At 43.0% G+C, this 18184-nt stretch overlaps 1 protein-coding gene and 2 pseudogenes across 4 annotated transcripts in view; all 3 read right to left on the reverse strand.

The window, feature by feature from the left end:
- Nucleotides 1-18184, reverse strand: part of DAB1 (DAB adaptor protein 1) — a 1551949-nt gene that overhangs the window by 1050607 nt on the left and 483158 nt on the right. The gene's annotated exons all lie outside the window — the stretch shown is intronic.
- HNRNPA1P6 (heterogeneous nuclear ribonucleoprotein A1 pseudogene 6) lies at nt 2465-3989 on the reverse strand (annotated as a pseudogene).
- On the reverse strand, nt 10678-11120 carry RPS26P15 (ribosomal protein S26 pseudogene 15; annotated as a pseudogene).

Below are 18184 nucleotides of genomic sequence, written 5' to 3' on the forward strand. Positions count from 1 at the left end.
CTCCACAGCATCCAGGCCTGAACCTGTGACCCCAACTCCGCGAGCGGGGCTGTTACCCACTCTTGAGACTGCCGGCATTAAGATCCTCTCATTACTGGCCATGCAGATTGTTCCCGGCGATAATGAGGTGGCAAGAGAAGAAACCATCCTGGGGGAACTTCTGAGAGCCAAGCCTTCGACAGTAGATGAATTCCTAACCTGCCATTTTAAAAACTGTCTCTCCAAATTGCTAGGAATATTTTTTTTCCAGGGAAGCTTTGACCCTTCTCTTTATCTTTCTTTTTAGACTATGTGCTGAAAGAGGTAGAAATCCATACTCACTCACCCCTTTCTTCCCTTGCATCTTTGTTTTCATCTCCATCCTTCTCTTGCCTCCTTTCTCTCCCTTTTTGCCTCTTTTCCCTTTTTCCCCTTTGTTCCTTCTCTTTTTTTCCATTTATTCTCCTATCCTTTCACACAGCATAGAGATGCAAGCTTTGGAACAAAATACATTATGGGTCCAAATTGCAGCTCTGCTCCCTGGTAATTAGGGATTTGGGCAAGATTATCAATTTTTTTTTTTTTTTTTTGGAGCCTCTGTTATTTATCTGAAAATGGAGACTAAAATTTTCAGGGTTTTAAGGTTATTAAATGACCTTATTTATAGAAAGAGGCCTGTTAAGGTATATGGGCACATAACTGGCATAGAATAAATGCAGGTACCTTCCTGTATTCAGCAAGGCTTTATTGAGTTAAGTCCATGATATATGTAAAGTCCTGTGGTAGATACCAGAGACAGAATAAGTTTTGGTTTCTTCTGTTAAGTAAGTTTTCCATTTTGATACTGAAGAAAAGCCTGGGAATTCTGGATTTTCTTAAACTAAATAAAGATAAATATTTTTCCTAGTGTATATCAAATATCCAATTGGCTATAACTAACTTCTTTTCTCAAAGCTAAGCAAACTGAGGCAAAGGACATCACGGCAATTGAAATGTTTATATCGTCCAAATCATTTACTTGGGTGACATCTTGTCCCTCCCATAGAACACATTTACATAAAGAAGAACTTCTTTTTTTGTTGTTGATTTTATTTTCTGTTGATTTTTTTTTCGAAGGTAGGATTATGAACTACTTTAAGGCCCTCTGAAACTAGGAAGGATGTGAGTAAAGTACAATGTCATATCATTATTTTTATTTGCATTTTTTAAATTACTAATGAGGTTGAACACATTTCCACATTAGTTTCAAGGTACTTAGCTAGAACTTGTTTTACAATTTTAATTGGTTACTGTCCATCTGGTATCTTCTCTACTATGCCATGAGCTTCCAGAGAACAGAGCCTGAGCAGCACTTGTCTTGGTATCCTTTGTGTGGTGCAGTAAACAAAGCATCTCACACAGACTGGATGCTGTAGAACAGAGCTCCTGCCATGTGCCAGCCACTGGTGCTGGGGATAGAGGGATGGGAGCTCTCAGAGGTACACTCTTTAAGTCCAGGGATACCTACAATTTCTGGGCCACTCACTGAGTGGAGAAGAACTGATTTTGTTTGAAACTGAAGTTCAAAGCCCAGCCGTGCCACTTACTGGTTGTGTGACCTTGGGCAAAGTTGCTTCATCTCTTTGAGCCTCAGTTTCTTTAGCTGTAAAATAAGGACAAGCTCCAAGATCCCTCCAAATTCTTACCATGACATGATATTTGTATAATATATACATAGCCTGAAAATGAGATTCAAACTTTAGTTATTTTGGAAATTCTGTTTTATTATGCCATGGATTGTGTCAAGCAGTTTCACCCAAAAGAAATATAGCATGGGCTATGAATGCAAGCCACATATGTCACCTTAAATTTGCCACTTAGCCACATTTAAGTAAAATAAAAAAACAGGTGAAATGAATTTTAATAATATATTTTCTTTAATCCAATATATCTAAACTGTTATCTTTCAACATATCCAAACTGTTATCATTTCAACAAGTGGCACTAGCCACATTTCAGGTGCCCAATAGCCACGTGTGGTTGGACAGTGTGGTGTGAAGTGTGGCACCAGGGAGGTGGGCCTTCGCTGCTGCTGCTGCCCTCTGGTGGATGTACAGGTGAGTGGCATCTCACAAATGAGGGGTGTGGGTGCAATGAAGCCACCAGCCCCTGTGTCCTACTAATCTTTATCATAGCCCCTTCACTCCTCTCATTGAAAGCATAGATACTAATTTTGATTTTTTTTAACCCATTCGCTTGTTTATGGTTAAAGAGCCACCTCTCATTCACTAGTCAAAGTAATCACATTGAATTACAGCAGAGTAGAATAAATGAAAGATCTTCACGCAATTCCATACATGTGAGAAATATGGGCTCTTCTATTGACACTCTCTCAGGCCAGGAACTTAACTAGATCATCTCTCTGCCTGAGTTGAAAGTCCAGTCAACAACTGTTTATCCGGCATCCAAGAAAAAGGAAACATAAATAACCTGAACTACTTTTTTTAAGGCATTTATTCAGCATCACGATCAGACTATTACATTTAGCAATCAACAGCATGGGTGCAAAAAAAAATCTACATTAAAACCCTTTGTTGGAATGCTTTACACTTTCCACAGAACAGCAACTAAAATAACCTGTTATACAATTAGTCACAAATATAGTCCTCAAGTTTTTTGCCCATATACATGAGTATTTGTCTAAAACATGTCTTCTTTGCAGCAGCTAGGCCCTGCCACCACTGTGTTTGGCTGAGTTCACAAATCTGTTGTAACCTATAGCTTCCCTGTCACTTCTCTGGCTCTTCTCTCCTGCTAAGCTTTGTTTCCTAATTAAAATCTTCTGCCACTGCCACAGCTACTGCTGCTACTGGAACCGCCATAGCCACCTTGGTTTCACAGTTTGGCAAAGTATTGGCCTCCACCGCCATAGGGGCCAGAGCTTCTGCCTCCAAAATCTCCCCCCTTCATGGGTCCAAAATTTGAAAACTGATTGTTTTAATTGCCCAAATCACTGTAGCTTCCACCACCTCCAAAACTGCTTCCACTGCCACTGCCAAAGCTACCTCCACCTCTATTGTTATAGCTGTCATAGCTGCCACTCCCGCCATAGCCACTGCCCTGGTTTCCATAACCCTGTCCACCACTTCCATAGCCTCTGCTTCCTCCAGAGTAACCAGGGCCACTTCCTCCATAACCACCATAATTGCCAAACCCATTATAACCATCCCCACTGCCACCATATCCACTGACATCACAGCTGCCACCAAAGCCACCATGACCACTAAAGTTTCCTCCACAACCAAAGTTGTCATTCCCACTGAAACCACCTCCACGACCACCACCAAAGTTTCCAGAACCACTTCACCTCTTTGGCTGGATGAAACACTAGCCATCTCTTGCTTTGACAGGGCTTTCCTAACTTCACAGTTGTGGCCATTCACAGTATAGTATTTCTGAATGACAGTCTTATCCACGGAATCATGGTTGTCAAAGGTTACAAAGGCAAAGCCCCTTTTTCTTTGCCACTGCCTCAGTCAGTCATGATTTCAATCACTTCCATTTTTCCAACTGTTAAAAATAATCTCTTAGGTGATGTTCTTCAGTGTCTTCTTTAAAACCACCAACAAATACCTTTTTCACAGTTAAGTGGGCACCTGGTCTTTGGGAATCTTCTCTTGAGACAGCTCTCTGTTTCCACAACTCTTCCACCCACCTTGTGTGGCCTTGCATTTGTGGCTGCATCCACCTCCTCCACAGTGGCATATGTGACAAACCCAAAGCCCCCGGAGCACTTGGTGTTTGGATCTCTCAGGACCACACAGTCCGTGAGCGTTCCCTATTGCTCAAAATGGCTTCTCAGGTTCTCATCAGTGGTGTCAAAGCTCAGCCCTCCAGTGAAGAGCTTCCTAAGCTGTTCGGGCTCTTTAGGAGACTCTGACTTAGACAGGATGGCAGGGAGAAGAGAGACTTTAACGATGCTTCTTCGGCGGCATCCACGGGCAGAAAGGAGCAAGCTGACGAATGTATCTTAACCTGAACTATTTTTGCACTTCTTTCCGATAATAATTATGCTCAGAGTCATTCAGCAACCACATTGAAAGGTTCTATGGGGCCTTCTGCATCATTGCAGAAGGAATTGATTGTGTCTGGTAAATTATAATTCTTTCCAAATTAGAACCAAGTATATGACATAGGTTGTGACCTGCTGGTAAGTAGAATATTTGATTAGCTGGAGAAAATTATTTTGGAATAGAAGAAAGAGCATGGATTTTGGATCCAGACTTAGATTTGACTCTTAACTATGTTATTTGCTATATGACCTTGAGTTTGAAATTTAGTCTCTTTAGATTTTAGTCTTCTTATCTGAAAAATAGAAATGATACCTCACATTGCAGGATAGTTTTAGTATTACATGATCACTATTTATTCAATAGATACTTATTGAATACATATTATATGCCTGGCATACACGCATATGCACACACACACACACACAGCAGTGAACAAAATAGAATCCACCTCTCCTTTCTTGGGGCTTTTAGCCTGGTAGGGAAAGAAATTATTTTGAAAAAACCATTAGTGTTTGAAAAGGGGGCATGCAGGAAACCATGAAGGCATGAAGTTGGGAACCGTATGGAATCTCATGCAGGGAACTCTAAAGAAGTGATATTAAATGGAGACCATAACAATGAGTAGAGATCATCTAGATAGAGGATTGTATGGAGAAGTGTAGAGGGTGTATAAGGCAGTATTCTAGGCCAACAGAATAGCACGTACAAAGGCCCTGAGTTAAAAGAGAACATAGATCAGTTGAGCATCTGAAAGTAATACAGTCCAGAACAGAAAGAAAAAGCAATGAGTCTGAAATTTATCGGGCCAGTTACAACAGGCTCTCGTGAGCCTATAAGAGTTTGGTACTATATTCAAAGAGCATGGAGCTATTGGAAGATATTAAACAGGAGAGTAATATTATTATATTTCTTTTTAAATTCTGGCTATGCAGTAAGACAGGTATTCAGTTATGGTGGGGAGAACAAAGTGTAGGTTACAGCAGAAATAAAGGTGAAATATGATGGGATTTTGGACTAGACATATGGTAGTGTGATGAAGAGAAGGAATTAATCATTAATCTAAGGAATATTTAGGTAGAATAAAAGAATTAACCTCATTGCTTTATTTTATTTATTTATTTATTTATTTATGGAGATGCAGTCTTGCTCTGTCACCCAGGCTGGAGTGCAGTGGCGCAATCTCGGCTCACTGCAAGCTCCACCTCCTGGGTTCACGCCATTCTCCTGCCTCAGCCTCCCGAGCAGCTGGGACTACAGGTGCCCGCCACCTCGCCTGGCTAATTTTTTGTATTTTTAGTAGAGACGGGGTCTCACCGTGTTAGCCAGGATGGTCTCAATCTCCTAATCTCGTGATCCGCCCGCCTCGGCCTCCCAAAGTGCTGAGATTACAGGCGTGAGCCACCGCACCCGGCCCTCATTGCTTTATTTTTATGAGTTGGACAGTGGCACATGGCTGATAGATTTTGTCTTGCTGAGCTTTTCCTAAGTATCCATAATTCATTCACCAAATATTACTGATGCTCTACTACATGCTACATGTTGTTCTAGGTGTGAGAAATACTGTGATGTCTTACTCCATTTTGTATTGCTATAAAGGACGACTTGAGTCTGGGTAATTTATAAAGAGAAGAAATTTTTTTTATATATATATACTTTAAGTTCTAGGGTACATGTGCACAAAGTGCAGGTTTGATACATATGTATATATGTGCCATGTTGGTTTGCTGCACCCATGAACTCATCATTTACATTAGGTATTTCTCCTAATGCTATTCCTCCCCCAGCCCCCCAGCCCCCGATGGGCCCCAGTATATGATGTTCCCTGCCCTGTGTCCAAGTGATCTCATTGTTCAAGTCCCACCTCTGAGTGAGAACATGTGGTGTTTGGTTTTCTGTCCTTGTGATAGTTTGCTCAGAATGATGGTTTCCAGCTTCATCCATGTCCCTTCAAAGGACATGAGCTCATCCTTTTTTATGGCTGCATAGTATTCCATGGTGTATATGTGCCAATTTTCTTAATCCAGTCTATTATTGATGGACATTTGGGTTGGTTCCAAGACTTTGCTATTGTGAATAGTGCTGCAATAGACATACGTGTGCATGTGTCTTTATAGTAGCATGATTTATAACCCTTTGGGTATATACCCAGTAATGGGATTGCTGGGTCAAATGGTAATTCTAGCTCTAGATCCTTGAGGAATCGCCACACTGTCTTCCACAATGGTTGAAGCAATTTACACTCCCATGAACAGTGTAAAAGCATTCCTATTTCTCCACAACCTCTCCAGCATTTGTTGTTTCCTGACTTTTTAATGATTGCCATTCTAACTGGCATGAGATGGTATCTCATTGTGATTTTGATTTGCATTTCTCTGATGACCAGTGACGATGAGCATTATTTCATGTGTTTGTTGTCTGCATAAATGTCTTCTTTTGAGAAGTGTCTGTTCATATCCTTTGTCAACTTTTTGATGGGGTTGTTTTTTTCTTGTAAATTTGTTTAAGTTCTTTGTAGATTCTGGATATTAGCCTTTTGTCAAATGGGTAGATTGCAAAAATTTTCTCCCATTCTGTAGGTTGCCTGTTCACTCTGATGGTAGTTTCTTTTGCCGTGCAGAAGCTCTTTAGTTTAATTAGATCCCATTTGTCTATTTTGGCTTTTGTTGCCATTACTTTTGGTGTTTTAGTCATGAAGTCCCTGCCCATGCCTATGTCCTGAATGGTATTGCCTAGGTTTTCTTCTAAGGTTTTTATGGTTTTAGGTCTAACATTCAAGTCTTTAATCCATCTTGAATTAATTTTTGTATAAGAGGTAAGGAAGGGATCCAGTTTCAGCTTTCTACATGTGGCTAGCCAATTTTCCCAGCACCATTTACTAAATAGGGAATCCTTTCCCCATTTCTTATTTTTGTCAGGTTTGTCAAAGATCAGATGGTTGTAGATGTGTGGCATTACTTCTGAGTCCTCCGTTCTGTTCCATTGGTCTATATATCTGTTTTGGTACCAGTACCATGCTGTTTTGGCTACTGTAGCCTTGTAGCATAGTTTGAAGTCAGGTAGCGTGATGCCTCTAGCTTTGTTCTTTTGGCTTAGGATTGACTTGGCAATGCAGGCTCTTTTTTGGTTCCATATGAACTTTAAAGTAGTTTTTTTCCAATTCTGTGAAGAAAGTCATTGGTAGCTTGATGGGGATGGCATTGAATCTATAAATTACCTTGGGCAGTATGGCCATTTTCATGATATTGATTCTTCCTATCCATAAGCATGGAATGTTCTTCCATTTGTTCCTGTCCTCTTTTATTTCATTGAGCAGTGGTTTGTAGTTCTCCTTGAAGAGGTCCTCACATCCCTTGTAAGTTGGATTCCTAGGTATTTTATTCTCTTTGTAGCAATTGTGAATGGGAGTTCACTTATGATTTGGCTCTCTGTTTGTTGAATAGAAGCGATTTACTAGGCTTACAATTCTGCAGTCTGTACAAGAAACATAGTGCCAACATCTGCTTTTGGTGATGGCCTTAGGCTGCTTCCACTCATTATGGAAGGCAAAGAAGTGCTAGCTTGTAGAGGTCACATGGTGAAAGAAAAAGCAAGAGCGAAAATGGGGAGCTGCCAGGCTTTTTTAAACAATAAGCGTTCATGGGAACTAATAGAGTAAGAACTTACTCACTTCCAAAAAATGGCTTAATCTATTCATGAGGGATCCACCCCCATGGCCCAAACATCTCCCATTACCCAATTCTAAAGCCGCTTTCACATATTCAGCTATCTTTATAACAAAACCCCACTCTTGGTACCAGTTTTCTTTTTCTCTTTTGTGTAGCTATGAAGGAATACCTGAGGCTGGATAATTTGTAAAGAGAAAAGGTTCATTTGGCTCACAATTCTGATGTCTGGAAAGGTTCAATATTGGGCATCTGGTGGTCTCAGGCTGCTTCCGCACATGGCAGAAAGTAGAAGGTTAGGGAGAGCCCATGTGTGCAGAGATGGCATGGTGAAAGAGGAAGCAAGGGGCTGGGGAGTGCCAGCCTCTTTTTCAACAACCAACTCTCGAAGGAACTTTAGAGAAAACCTCACTCACCCCTGAGGAAGGGCATTACTCTATTTATGAGGAATCTGCCCCCATCACTCAAACACCTTCCATTAGGCCCCAACTCCAACACTGGGTATCAAATTTCAACATGAAGTTTGGAGGGGACAAATATCTAAACCATAGCAGATGGTAAATGAAAATAGAAAATAGACCAAAATTCCAGCTGTCTTGGAAATATAGTAAAGATAATATATGAAAGTAGGTGCCACATGGTAGGTAACAAAAAATATGGATTCACTTCCTTCTTCCCTTTCCTAGTTATGGCAGAGAACCCCAATCTGTATACTTACATTTAAATAACTCTGTGAAATTAGTCTGCAAGCTAAATCAATGCTGTACTACCATACAAAAGTTTGGGATTCCCATGGTGTCAACCATACTCGCTGTTGATCTCTGTTTGGATCTCACTTCCTGTCTTCTCACCTAATCCATGGTCCCACATTGTTGCCTGCTAGTTATTTTCACTTGTATGCTATACTGAAGGGAAGAACAAGAGGGAAGAAGTTAGAAAGGAAGAATAACACTAGAACTAAAAGGGCTTTCTTTTTGTTGAACACATACTGGGCATCAGCACTGTGCTGACTTCTTTGCATCACAATTCTAGGAGTATGGCATTATCATCCCTGTTTCACAGATAAAGACGCTAAGTCTTAGAGTTTCCTAGGATGAGAAGTTGCTTCTGTCTGAATAATTAGCAATCAGTTTTAGCTGCCTTTCTCCTTCCATTTCTCTGCCAAGAGGAGATAACAGAATAACTCCTATATCTACAATTTTAAAATTCTCATGGCTTAAAGACTACCAGTGCAAAGAGTTCTTTCTACTCCTCCATCTTTATTTCATAACCTCATACCATTCATTTTTGGTCCAGGTTTCTTCCTTTAGCTCCATAAGGCATCTCAGATTCTGTGTTTCAGCCAACAGACATGCATGGGGACAACAGATACTCTATTTAAAAGCATGGACCACTAAATTAACAAGAAGTATTTACATGCTATGGGTTGAGAAACCTGCATCTCCTAACTGCAATGAACGAAGGGCTGTCTGCAATGCTGCTGGTTACAGCTAGACATAAAACCCATTATCAGCTCATTGGCTGTTGGGACATAAAACTGCTTGGTCTCACAAAGATATTTCCTCACCATGGGGATAAGTTTAATAAGAACTACAGATGATAGTAAAAAGCACATTTATTTCCTATAACCTACAGAAAGTCTTTATTGCATATAGGATAAATAACAGGCCACTGTGAGTTACTGGTCTGTAATTCCACTTAGGAGGTTTGGGGCATGAAACACAGTGGGGAGAAATTGCTGTTTTAAAAACGAGGCCTTGGAGTTGGAGGCCCAGGAGAGGACGAAGATGAGATTCTGTGTGAAAAGATGACAACCCGCTGTCAAGCAATGGTCCAGCACAGCCACATTCGTGAAGGCATGGGCAGCCTTTCTACTCAGCAGCAGGTGGCCTGAGGCAAAATTACTAAGCAATACAAACATTATCTTACCTCATACTTAATGATTTTCAAAGCTATACCATAACCCATCTTTTCACTGGACCCTTACAAACACCACTGGAGATAAGCAAAATGAGGACTCTTATTCCCATTTAACAGATGGGAGAGCAATGTTCATGTGGGACAGCCAGGATTTCAGAATATGCTGTTGTATCATGCAGAACACAGACCTTCAAAGATCACAGGATCTGCAGATCTGGCTCCTGTTACCTCTCTGATCTCATCACACTCAGTTCCTAGCATGCACATCCTTGATTCTTCTCAGATGCTCCAGGCATGCTGTGGCTTATAGCCTTTGTACTTGACCTTCCTTCTACCTGAAACTCTCATCCCCCAGGTATCAGAATGGTGTCTTCCCTCATCTCCATTTAGATCTGTGCTCACATATCACCTTCATTCTACTCTATTTCCATTTGCAACCCCACCCCTCGTACTCCCTCTTTCCCTTTTCCGCTTTGTTTTTATCCATAGCACTTAATCATCTTCTGACAGTCAGTATATTTTCTTTATTTGTTGACTATCTACTTTTCCTATCAGAATGTAAGCTCCTTGAAGGCAGAGAATTTTGTTTGCTTTGTTTACCACTATACATTTGACCAGTGATGGACATATGCTAGATGCTCAGCAAATACATGTTGAATAGACTAATGTACGCATAAATCTATATTAGTACTATAGGGAATGAGGGTGAGCAGTCACAGGCCTTCAAGAAAGGGTCTTACTCTGTCACCCAGGCTGGAGTGCAGTGGCGTCATCTCGGCTCACTGCAACCTCTGTCACTGCAACCTCTGTCTTCTGGGCTCAAGTGATCCTCCTGCCTCAGCCTCCCAAGTAACTGGAAACACAGGCATGTGCCATCACACCGAGTTATTATTATTATTATTATTATTATTTGTATTTTTTGTATAGACAGGGTCTCCCTATGTTGTTCAGGCTGGTCTCAAACTCCTGGGCTCAAGAAATCCGCCTGCCTCGGCCTCACACAGTGCTAAAATTCCAGGTGTGAGCCACCGTGCCTGGCCTCATGTGCATTCTTTTTTTTTTTTTTTTAAGTACAATTTCCATTTTATTTTTCTCCAGAGAATAGCCTGTCTTCAGTCTTTAAGAACTCAGCTCCTTACATGGGCTTTGGTGGGGGACGTGGGGCAGCACCCGCAGGTCTAAATCGGGATGGGGGTGTTCGGTCCTTGCGGGCTTCACGAGATCGATTCCTGACTACTTTGCTGTGAATTGCACAACTCACACAGTAATGTAGCTTCACATACAGCTTGGGAAGCACATAGGCATCGAAGACGCTCGCTTCAGAAATGTCCCTGACTGCTGCGGCCTTCACTATGTTTCGAATGACGAATGTCTTAATGGCCTTGTCCTTGGGCACGCATCGGGCACAGTTAGTGCAGCGAATAGGCTGCACGTGGCCGCGGCCCTTTTTGGCACGACCATTGTTCCTTCTTTTCTTTGTCATCTTGGAGGCACGGACCAGAGAGAGCTCATGTGCATTCTTAATGTTGGGTTATGTCACCTTGCTCATCACAACCTAACTCCCCCATTTTCTGGCTCTCAGGCTCTGCCTTCTCATCAATGCCCCAGTGCAAGCTGTCTTCTGTCTGATCCTCCAGATCCATGCTTCAGGCTTCCTCACTCAGCCCAGGGCCCCCAGATGCTATCCATGTGGACTACACCATGGGCTCTCTTGTTCTCTTTTGTCCTCCGGTTGAGGTAAGCCAACAGGTTCTTGACAAGAGACCAAGTTAGTGTATTCACTCCGTTGGCTTCCTCCCTTTGTAGTCACCTTAGGATGGCTTCCTTTCTCAACCAAAAGTCACTGCTCTGCTCAAGGTGGCTTCTTCACAGGACTTCCTAGTCTTGGTTCCAGTACCTGCTCCCTCACCCACACCGTCCATGTCTAGGGGTGGTAGCAGCCCTGCACACTGCTGTAACTCGTATGTTTTCCCTATACTCTGCTCACTTAAACAATCCCTTTATTAAACCCTCTTTGAATTACTCTAATCCAGTGTACCTTCTATTTTCTACTAGGACCCTAATTGATGACACACTTTGTAAACTCTGATTTTCCCCTCTGGCCTCACTCAACCTGATTCTCCCTCTTTCAAAGGGATTGTGCATATTACATGTGTAAAGTGCCTACCACAGTTCTTAATATATTGTAAGTGCTCAAGAATGTTTATTTTTTTTAATTATGAATCCCTGCATAATCTGATTCCTGTCTTCTTTTCACCTTTATTCATTTCTACTCCCCTTGGCCACCCCCATTGTACTGGGTTGAATAGCATCCCCTTAAAATTCATGTCTACCCAGAAACTCAGAATATAACTTTCTTTGGAAGCAGGATTCTTGCAAATGTATTTAGTTAAAACGAGGCCATACTGGATTAGGGTGAGTCTAATCCTATTGAATTAGACCAATAGGGTCTAGACCAATAGGACAAATTAGAAACCACCCTAATCCAATAACTGTTGTCTTTATAAGAAGAGAAAACCGAGACACACATAAGTAGAACAGCCATGTAAAGACAGGGGCAGAAACTGGAGCACTACAGCTGCAAGCCAAGGAATGCTGAGGACTGCTAGCAACTGCTAGAAGATAGAGAGAGGCAAGGAAGGATTCTTCCCTAGAATCTTCAGAGCATAGCTTTGCCGACACCTTGGTTTTGGACTCCTAGCCTCTAGAAACTGCAAGAGAATAAATTTCTATTGTCTTAAGCTACCCCAGTTTGTGGTACTTTGTCATGGCAGCTTTAGGGAATACATATACCCACCAACTCCACATTGAGTGCCCACAATGAACACGGTCTTTCTCACCTCCAGGTCCTTGCATAAGCTGCCTAGGAGCATCCTCTCACCTGTTTTCCACTTGACCACCTCCTGCTTGCCATTCCTCCCATTGTGCTACCTTATCTTGAGACCTTCCCTGACCATCCAAGTCTAGCTTAGGGAAGCCTCTCTTCTGAGTTGCACAACACTCTTTTTGCCATCACAACACCTATCACATTGCACAACAGTTGCAACACTGTTATATGACTGGTTGTAACACCATTTATTGCACTGTAGGATTTGTGAGAACAATCCTCTCCATCTTATAATCCAATCTGTCTTATTCTTAGTTGTATTATGGGTGCCTAGTATGTGTTAATGCTGACTAGTACTCATTAAGTGCTTACTACATACTCAGTACCATTCTAAGTTATTTATATTAACTCATGTACACCAACTTGCTACCTTATGAGGTAAGTACTATTAATTTTCCCATTCTATAGTTGTCTACAATGAAAAGCACGGGATGAGACATCTGCATTATTCTTGGCATTCTTCCAGGTGCACTTTGCAATTCCACCAGCAAACCCCATTGCATGATTTCAGTTTCCAAGTGCAAATCCATCTTAGCCTTAAACTCATTTACGCCATTCGCTCCCACTATATCAGCCACGCTCGACTGTTGCATGGTGCAATAACTCTCTGCCAGGCTCTGAACAGTTTTCCCAGTCATCAAGAAGGTGCAATTGATTCAAAGTGTTAATATTTGCTCACCACTGAGACCATCCGGGGGCTTCATCACTCATAGCAATGCTACCCGCTGGAACTACAGGAGTGCAGGGCTCTCGAAGGCTATGCATGAGCTGATGATGAGAGATGCGGGCTTCTTGGATAAGCAAAATCTCATCACAGAAAGATGTGCATCCTCTCTCCTAACTTGGGCTTTCTGGCAGACAGATGAGAAGAGGTTTAAAGTAAAATAAATGGAAATTGCATATCTGTTCATGCTATGAAATCCTGGAGTTCCTGAATCCTCACACATTCATTGAACTATCTTGCATATTAAATATGTACTAAGTGCCAGACTTTCTGCTAATTGCCAGGAACACAACACAAAATAAAAGGAAGGCTCCATGGTACCCATCTTCCTGCCTTCAGGTAGGAACACACCTGTACATCTGTGGCCATCTGCTCTACCTCAGTTCCTTTAAGACAACTGGACTGGCTCACAGAGGAAAGTGAGGACTGTACCAGGGCCATCTGCAGTGAAGGTCTCAGCCCCACCTTCTTGCTCTGCACATAGCCCTGTCCCTGCCTGTCTCCCTTACTGTGTCCTGCCTCTTAGCATGGGTTGCTATTTTAAGATCCTCCTTTTGCCTCCCTGGGCTGGTCACTGCCATTACACCTTCCTTGGAAGCAGCAAAATGGGGTGGCCATGAGCATGGGCTCTCAGCCAGGCAGCCTGAGTTGAATCCATCTCTGCTATACTCTAGCTGTGTAGTCATAGGGAAGTCACTGCAACCCATGTACCTCAGTTTCTTCATCCATAAAATGGCAACACAAATGACTGTTACTACTTAAGAAGGTTGTTGAGACAATTGAATGAGGTAACAGGCAAAGTGTTTAAGACAGTACCTGACACACAGTAACAACTCAATAAACATGCTAGGTAATTCTGTTATTAGTGTTGTTATCACCTGGTTGATGCTGGATACACACATGCCACTGTAAATCTGGTTATCTCTTTTTATTTATGCACATATCTTTCTTTTGTTTAGCAAAGGTTTATCAACTGGCCACAAGGCCCCATTTAGGAACTATGGGGGCTACAAAGGAAAATAAGATGCAGTCCTCAACTTCAAGGAGCACACAGTCTAATGGCATAAACAAGCAAGACACTTAAAAATAGCCAAATCCACCACATGGAGTGCTTTATATGCTTGCCATTTTCAGTCTGCCCAATAACCTCATGGAGTAAGCACTCATTATCATCATTTTCATTTCACAAGAAGTCACAGCGAGGCTAAGCAATTTCTCCAGGGTTACACAGCTAGGAAATGGCAGAGAAAGGATGCACCAACAGGCAGTCTGACTCCAGAGGCTACACTCACGGTCCTTATGCTAGGCAACGATCACAGCACTGACAACTGTGCTGGAACTTCCTGGGAGCTCCCGGGAAGGCAGCACAAAAGGGACTGATTTCTGACTAATGAGCAGGATTTTTCATGTAGTGCAGGGGAGGGCACACCAAGCCAGGAGGAGCAGGCTGGGGAGAGCACACATCCGGGAAAGGGGCAGTCTGGGGATGCCAGAGGCTGGCTTCTGTGTGGGGAGAGCAGCAGGGTGAGGAGGAAGGATGGCAAAGGAGCCAAAGATCAGGCGAGTCCAGGCCAAGGAGTCCGCACATCTCTCATAGGCAGTAGGGGCTCACCCACCGAATGAAGTGGTTGGATCTGCAGTTTAAGAAGAAAACCAAAAGCCAACTCTTTCCAACAGGCTTCTCTGCTGGCTCTCTAAGGTAAGGAGGAGGTTCAGAAGACAGCCAGAATTGTGCCCAAGGTTTATTTGTATTATGGTCTCTGCTGTGGATAAAAGAGCATAGAGATTCTTGTAGATAGACCAGTTTTTCACCCTAGATTTCCTTCTTCTTACTGTATGACTTTGGAAAACTCGCCTCACATTTCTGAGCTCATCTGCTCCCCAGAGTAAAGAGCGACTGGTGAAAGCCACCTCACAGGGTAGATAAGTGGAAGGGTAAATTGAGAAACCGCAGATGCCCAGGAGATCTTTTTTTTACCTGACAGTTCCTCTGTTGCTGCCCTTTCTGCACCCTCTGTGGGGTTTTCGGGGTCTCCTGCCCAAGGGCCCACAAAGTCCTGGCCTGAGAACAGAGAAGCATGCCTCGAGTGTTGTAAGTGAGTGTGCACAAGTCCCAGGGTAAACTGCCAATTCTCGGCTTTCTGGGCCAGCAGCCATGGGCTGTTAAGCAAAAGGCAACATTAGCCCGAGCAGTGTCTTCCATGATTACCTTTGCTCACACACCTTTTCCTGCCATGACATCACATTACAACGTGGAACATCTGGTTCCTCGGCAGGGGAATGCCACATCTAACTGTGGGAGGACACTGTTTGGGGAAGCCAGCCAAGCCAGAGGCTGCCTGCCTCCCTGCTGCTTCCTCCAGTGCTGCCAGCAAGAAGGATGAAGAAGGAAGAGCCTGGGTCCTCAGGGCCTCCATCCCTCCCTTTGGCAGGGGAAAGGACCAGTCGTGGCCAGGACAGAGGATGCTCAGGTCTGACGTGGGCTCAGGAACGTCCTCACTGACCCCACTCTTTCACACACATGGGCTCAACACCTCAGAGTATCAGAGAATATGCAGTGACAAATCCACAGGCTTTCGAATGAAAAAGACCCACGGGTGAGTTCTAGCTTTGCAACCCTGAGCAAGTCGCTTAACCCCTCTGCTTTAGTATTCTAGGGTCGCTGAAACAAAGTGCCACAAACCGGGCGACTTCAACAATAGCATTTACTGCCTCACAGTTGAGGAGCTAGAAGTCCAAGATCAAGGTGTTGGCAGGGCTATTTCCTTCTGAGGGCTGTGAGATGAATCCGTTCCAGGCTTCTCCTCTAGCTTCTTACAGTTTTCTGGTGACCTTTGGCACTGCTTGGCTTTTAGAAGAGTCATACTGATCTCTGCCTTCGTCTTCACATGGCCCTGTGTCTGTCTGTCCAAATTTTCCCTTTTTACAGGGACACCACTTATACTGGATTAGAACCACCCCCCAACAATGGCTTCTCTTAACTAACTCTATCTGCAATGACCCTATTCCCAAATAAAGTCACATTCTAAGGCACCGAATGTTAGGACTTCAACATATAAATTTGGGGTGAGAGGAGGGGTACAACTCCACCCATAACATTCTCTAAGGCTGTTCTCTTCTCAGTAGAGTGAGGGTAATAAAGGCTGATAAAGCTTTAGTATCCCCATAGGGTTTATTGCACCCCATAGGGTTGTGTGACAGTTAAATGAGGTAGGGAATGTAACTACCTGACAAAGAGCAGGTATCAGGAAATGTGATTTCCTTTCCCCAAGATGGAGAGAGACTCCTTTTCCATGTAGTTAATCTGCTATCCGCAAATTAACTGAGCTTAGTATCTACCCTAACATGCCCCTAGTAGGAATTTAAAGGTCATTTAACCTAACCTCCATTTCAAATAGTAAGGAAACTGAGGCCCCAAAAAATCATTTTGCTGATTTAATGACTAGCCTTGGGCTAGAACTAATTTTTCTCCTTGGAATAAGAAGCCATTTAATCCAGGGAACATTCTCTGTATTAAAATATCCTATATATAGCTCCTCACTGCCCTCCAATAACACTCGCAGTTTGTCTTATGTAGCATAAGTGGTCTTTCTCAAACCTTCCCCATAGCCATCACCTTGTTCAGGCAGGGATAACTTATGGCACTAGACAGTTGAGGAAACAGAGGCTCAGAAAGCTACAGGGCTTGGTAGAGGTCACAGACCTCATAAGTAGTAAGACAAGAATTATAGTGCAAGTCTCACTACAGCTTTGCCAGGGCTTTCTCCTCTATTGCATGGTTTTATATGTGGGTCTTGGTTACCTTCAAATGGTAGAATCCCATGCAAGATTCAAGGAGGGCTTCTTGGGAAGGCCCTGGCCACCTGCCTCTGCTATTCCAGCTTCCAAGACCTTCCATACAACTATCCTTGCTTCCTCTTTGAAACATCCATTTTTCATCTTGCTGCTCTGCTGCTCCACAGAGTCCACAGTCACAGAGCAAGGCATGGGGAGACATGGCAAGCTCCCCAGGTTCTGTTCCTGGTGCAGAGTGAGGACACTCACTACGGTGCCAGGAGTTCCAGCCCTGATGCTCCGTCAGGTGAGGAATTTGATGGAGGGCCTACCTAGTCACCCAGATGGCTTTCTGCTTTGAGAAAGTTTCTCAGCCCTGAGATGAGTAGATACTACACACCATGCTCGCCCTCACACAGATGCGTCTGAAGGAACATGCACCAGGATCTGGGTGAGTCATTTGCAAGAAATGTCAAGAAAGCACACAATGAGACAATTGCATGTGAACATGGATGACTGATAGAGCTGAAAAGTCAGAGAAGGCCAGAGCCAAACTCAGCATATGAACTAATAACTCTGATTTATCAACCAACTTATTTATTCATTCATTCATGCAACAAGTACTGATTGAGGGATTACCATGTGCAAAGCACTCAGCTAGGCACTGCTCAGGAATAAGCAAGGCAACATTGTCCTCACTACCTGGGGCTCTCTGGTCCTTCACCACAGAATGTCCGAAGAGGCCCATTCCATTGGCACCAAAAGGCTTGTTTTAGGGATAGAAAAGAACAAAATAATTACAGAAAATAAGGCAAGCAGCAGAGCCTTTTGGCTGCTCTGGGGTCACAGTGCTGTAAATAACAGAATGTTAAAATGGCCTTGGGGTACAATAACTGAAGAGGGGTGTGAGTCATTTCGTGACGCAAGAAAAAAAATGACACCTTTACAACAGCTGCAAATTAGCCTTGCTATAGGAAAAAATCAGAGGAAATGTTTCACAGGAGCAAGGATCCTTGCTCATAACAACCTTTCAGAGAGGACTCTGTAGACCAGAAGCACCAGAACCTAAAGTCCAGTGTATAGCCCGGGCCCCCACACTTGGCACAGACTCAGCCTATGGTAGACAGAATTAAGCTCATGGAGTAGAAAGAGTGTCTATTTAGAAATCAGAGAGCTTGAAGCCTAG

Source organism: Homo sapiens, chromosome 1, assembly GCF_000001405.40.
Source record: "Homo sapiens chromosome 1, GRCh38.p14 Primary Assembly".
NCBI classification, from domain to species: domain Eukaryota; kingdom Metazoa; phylum Chordata; class Mammalia; order Primates; family Hominidae; genus Homo; species Homo sapiens.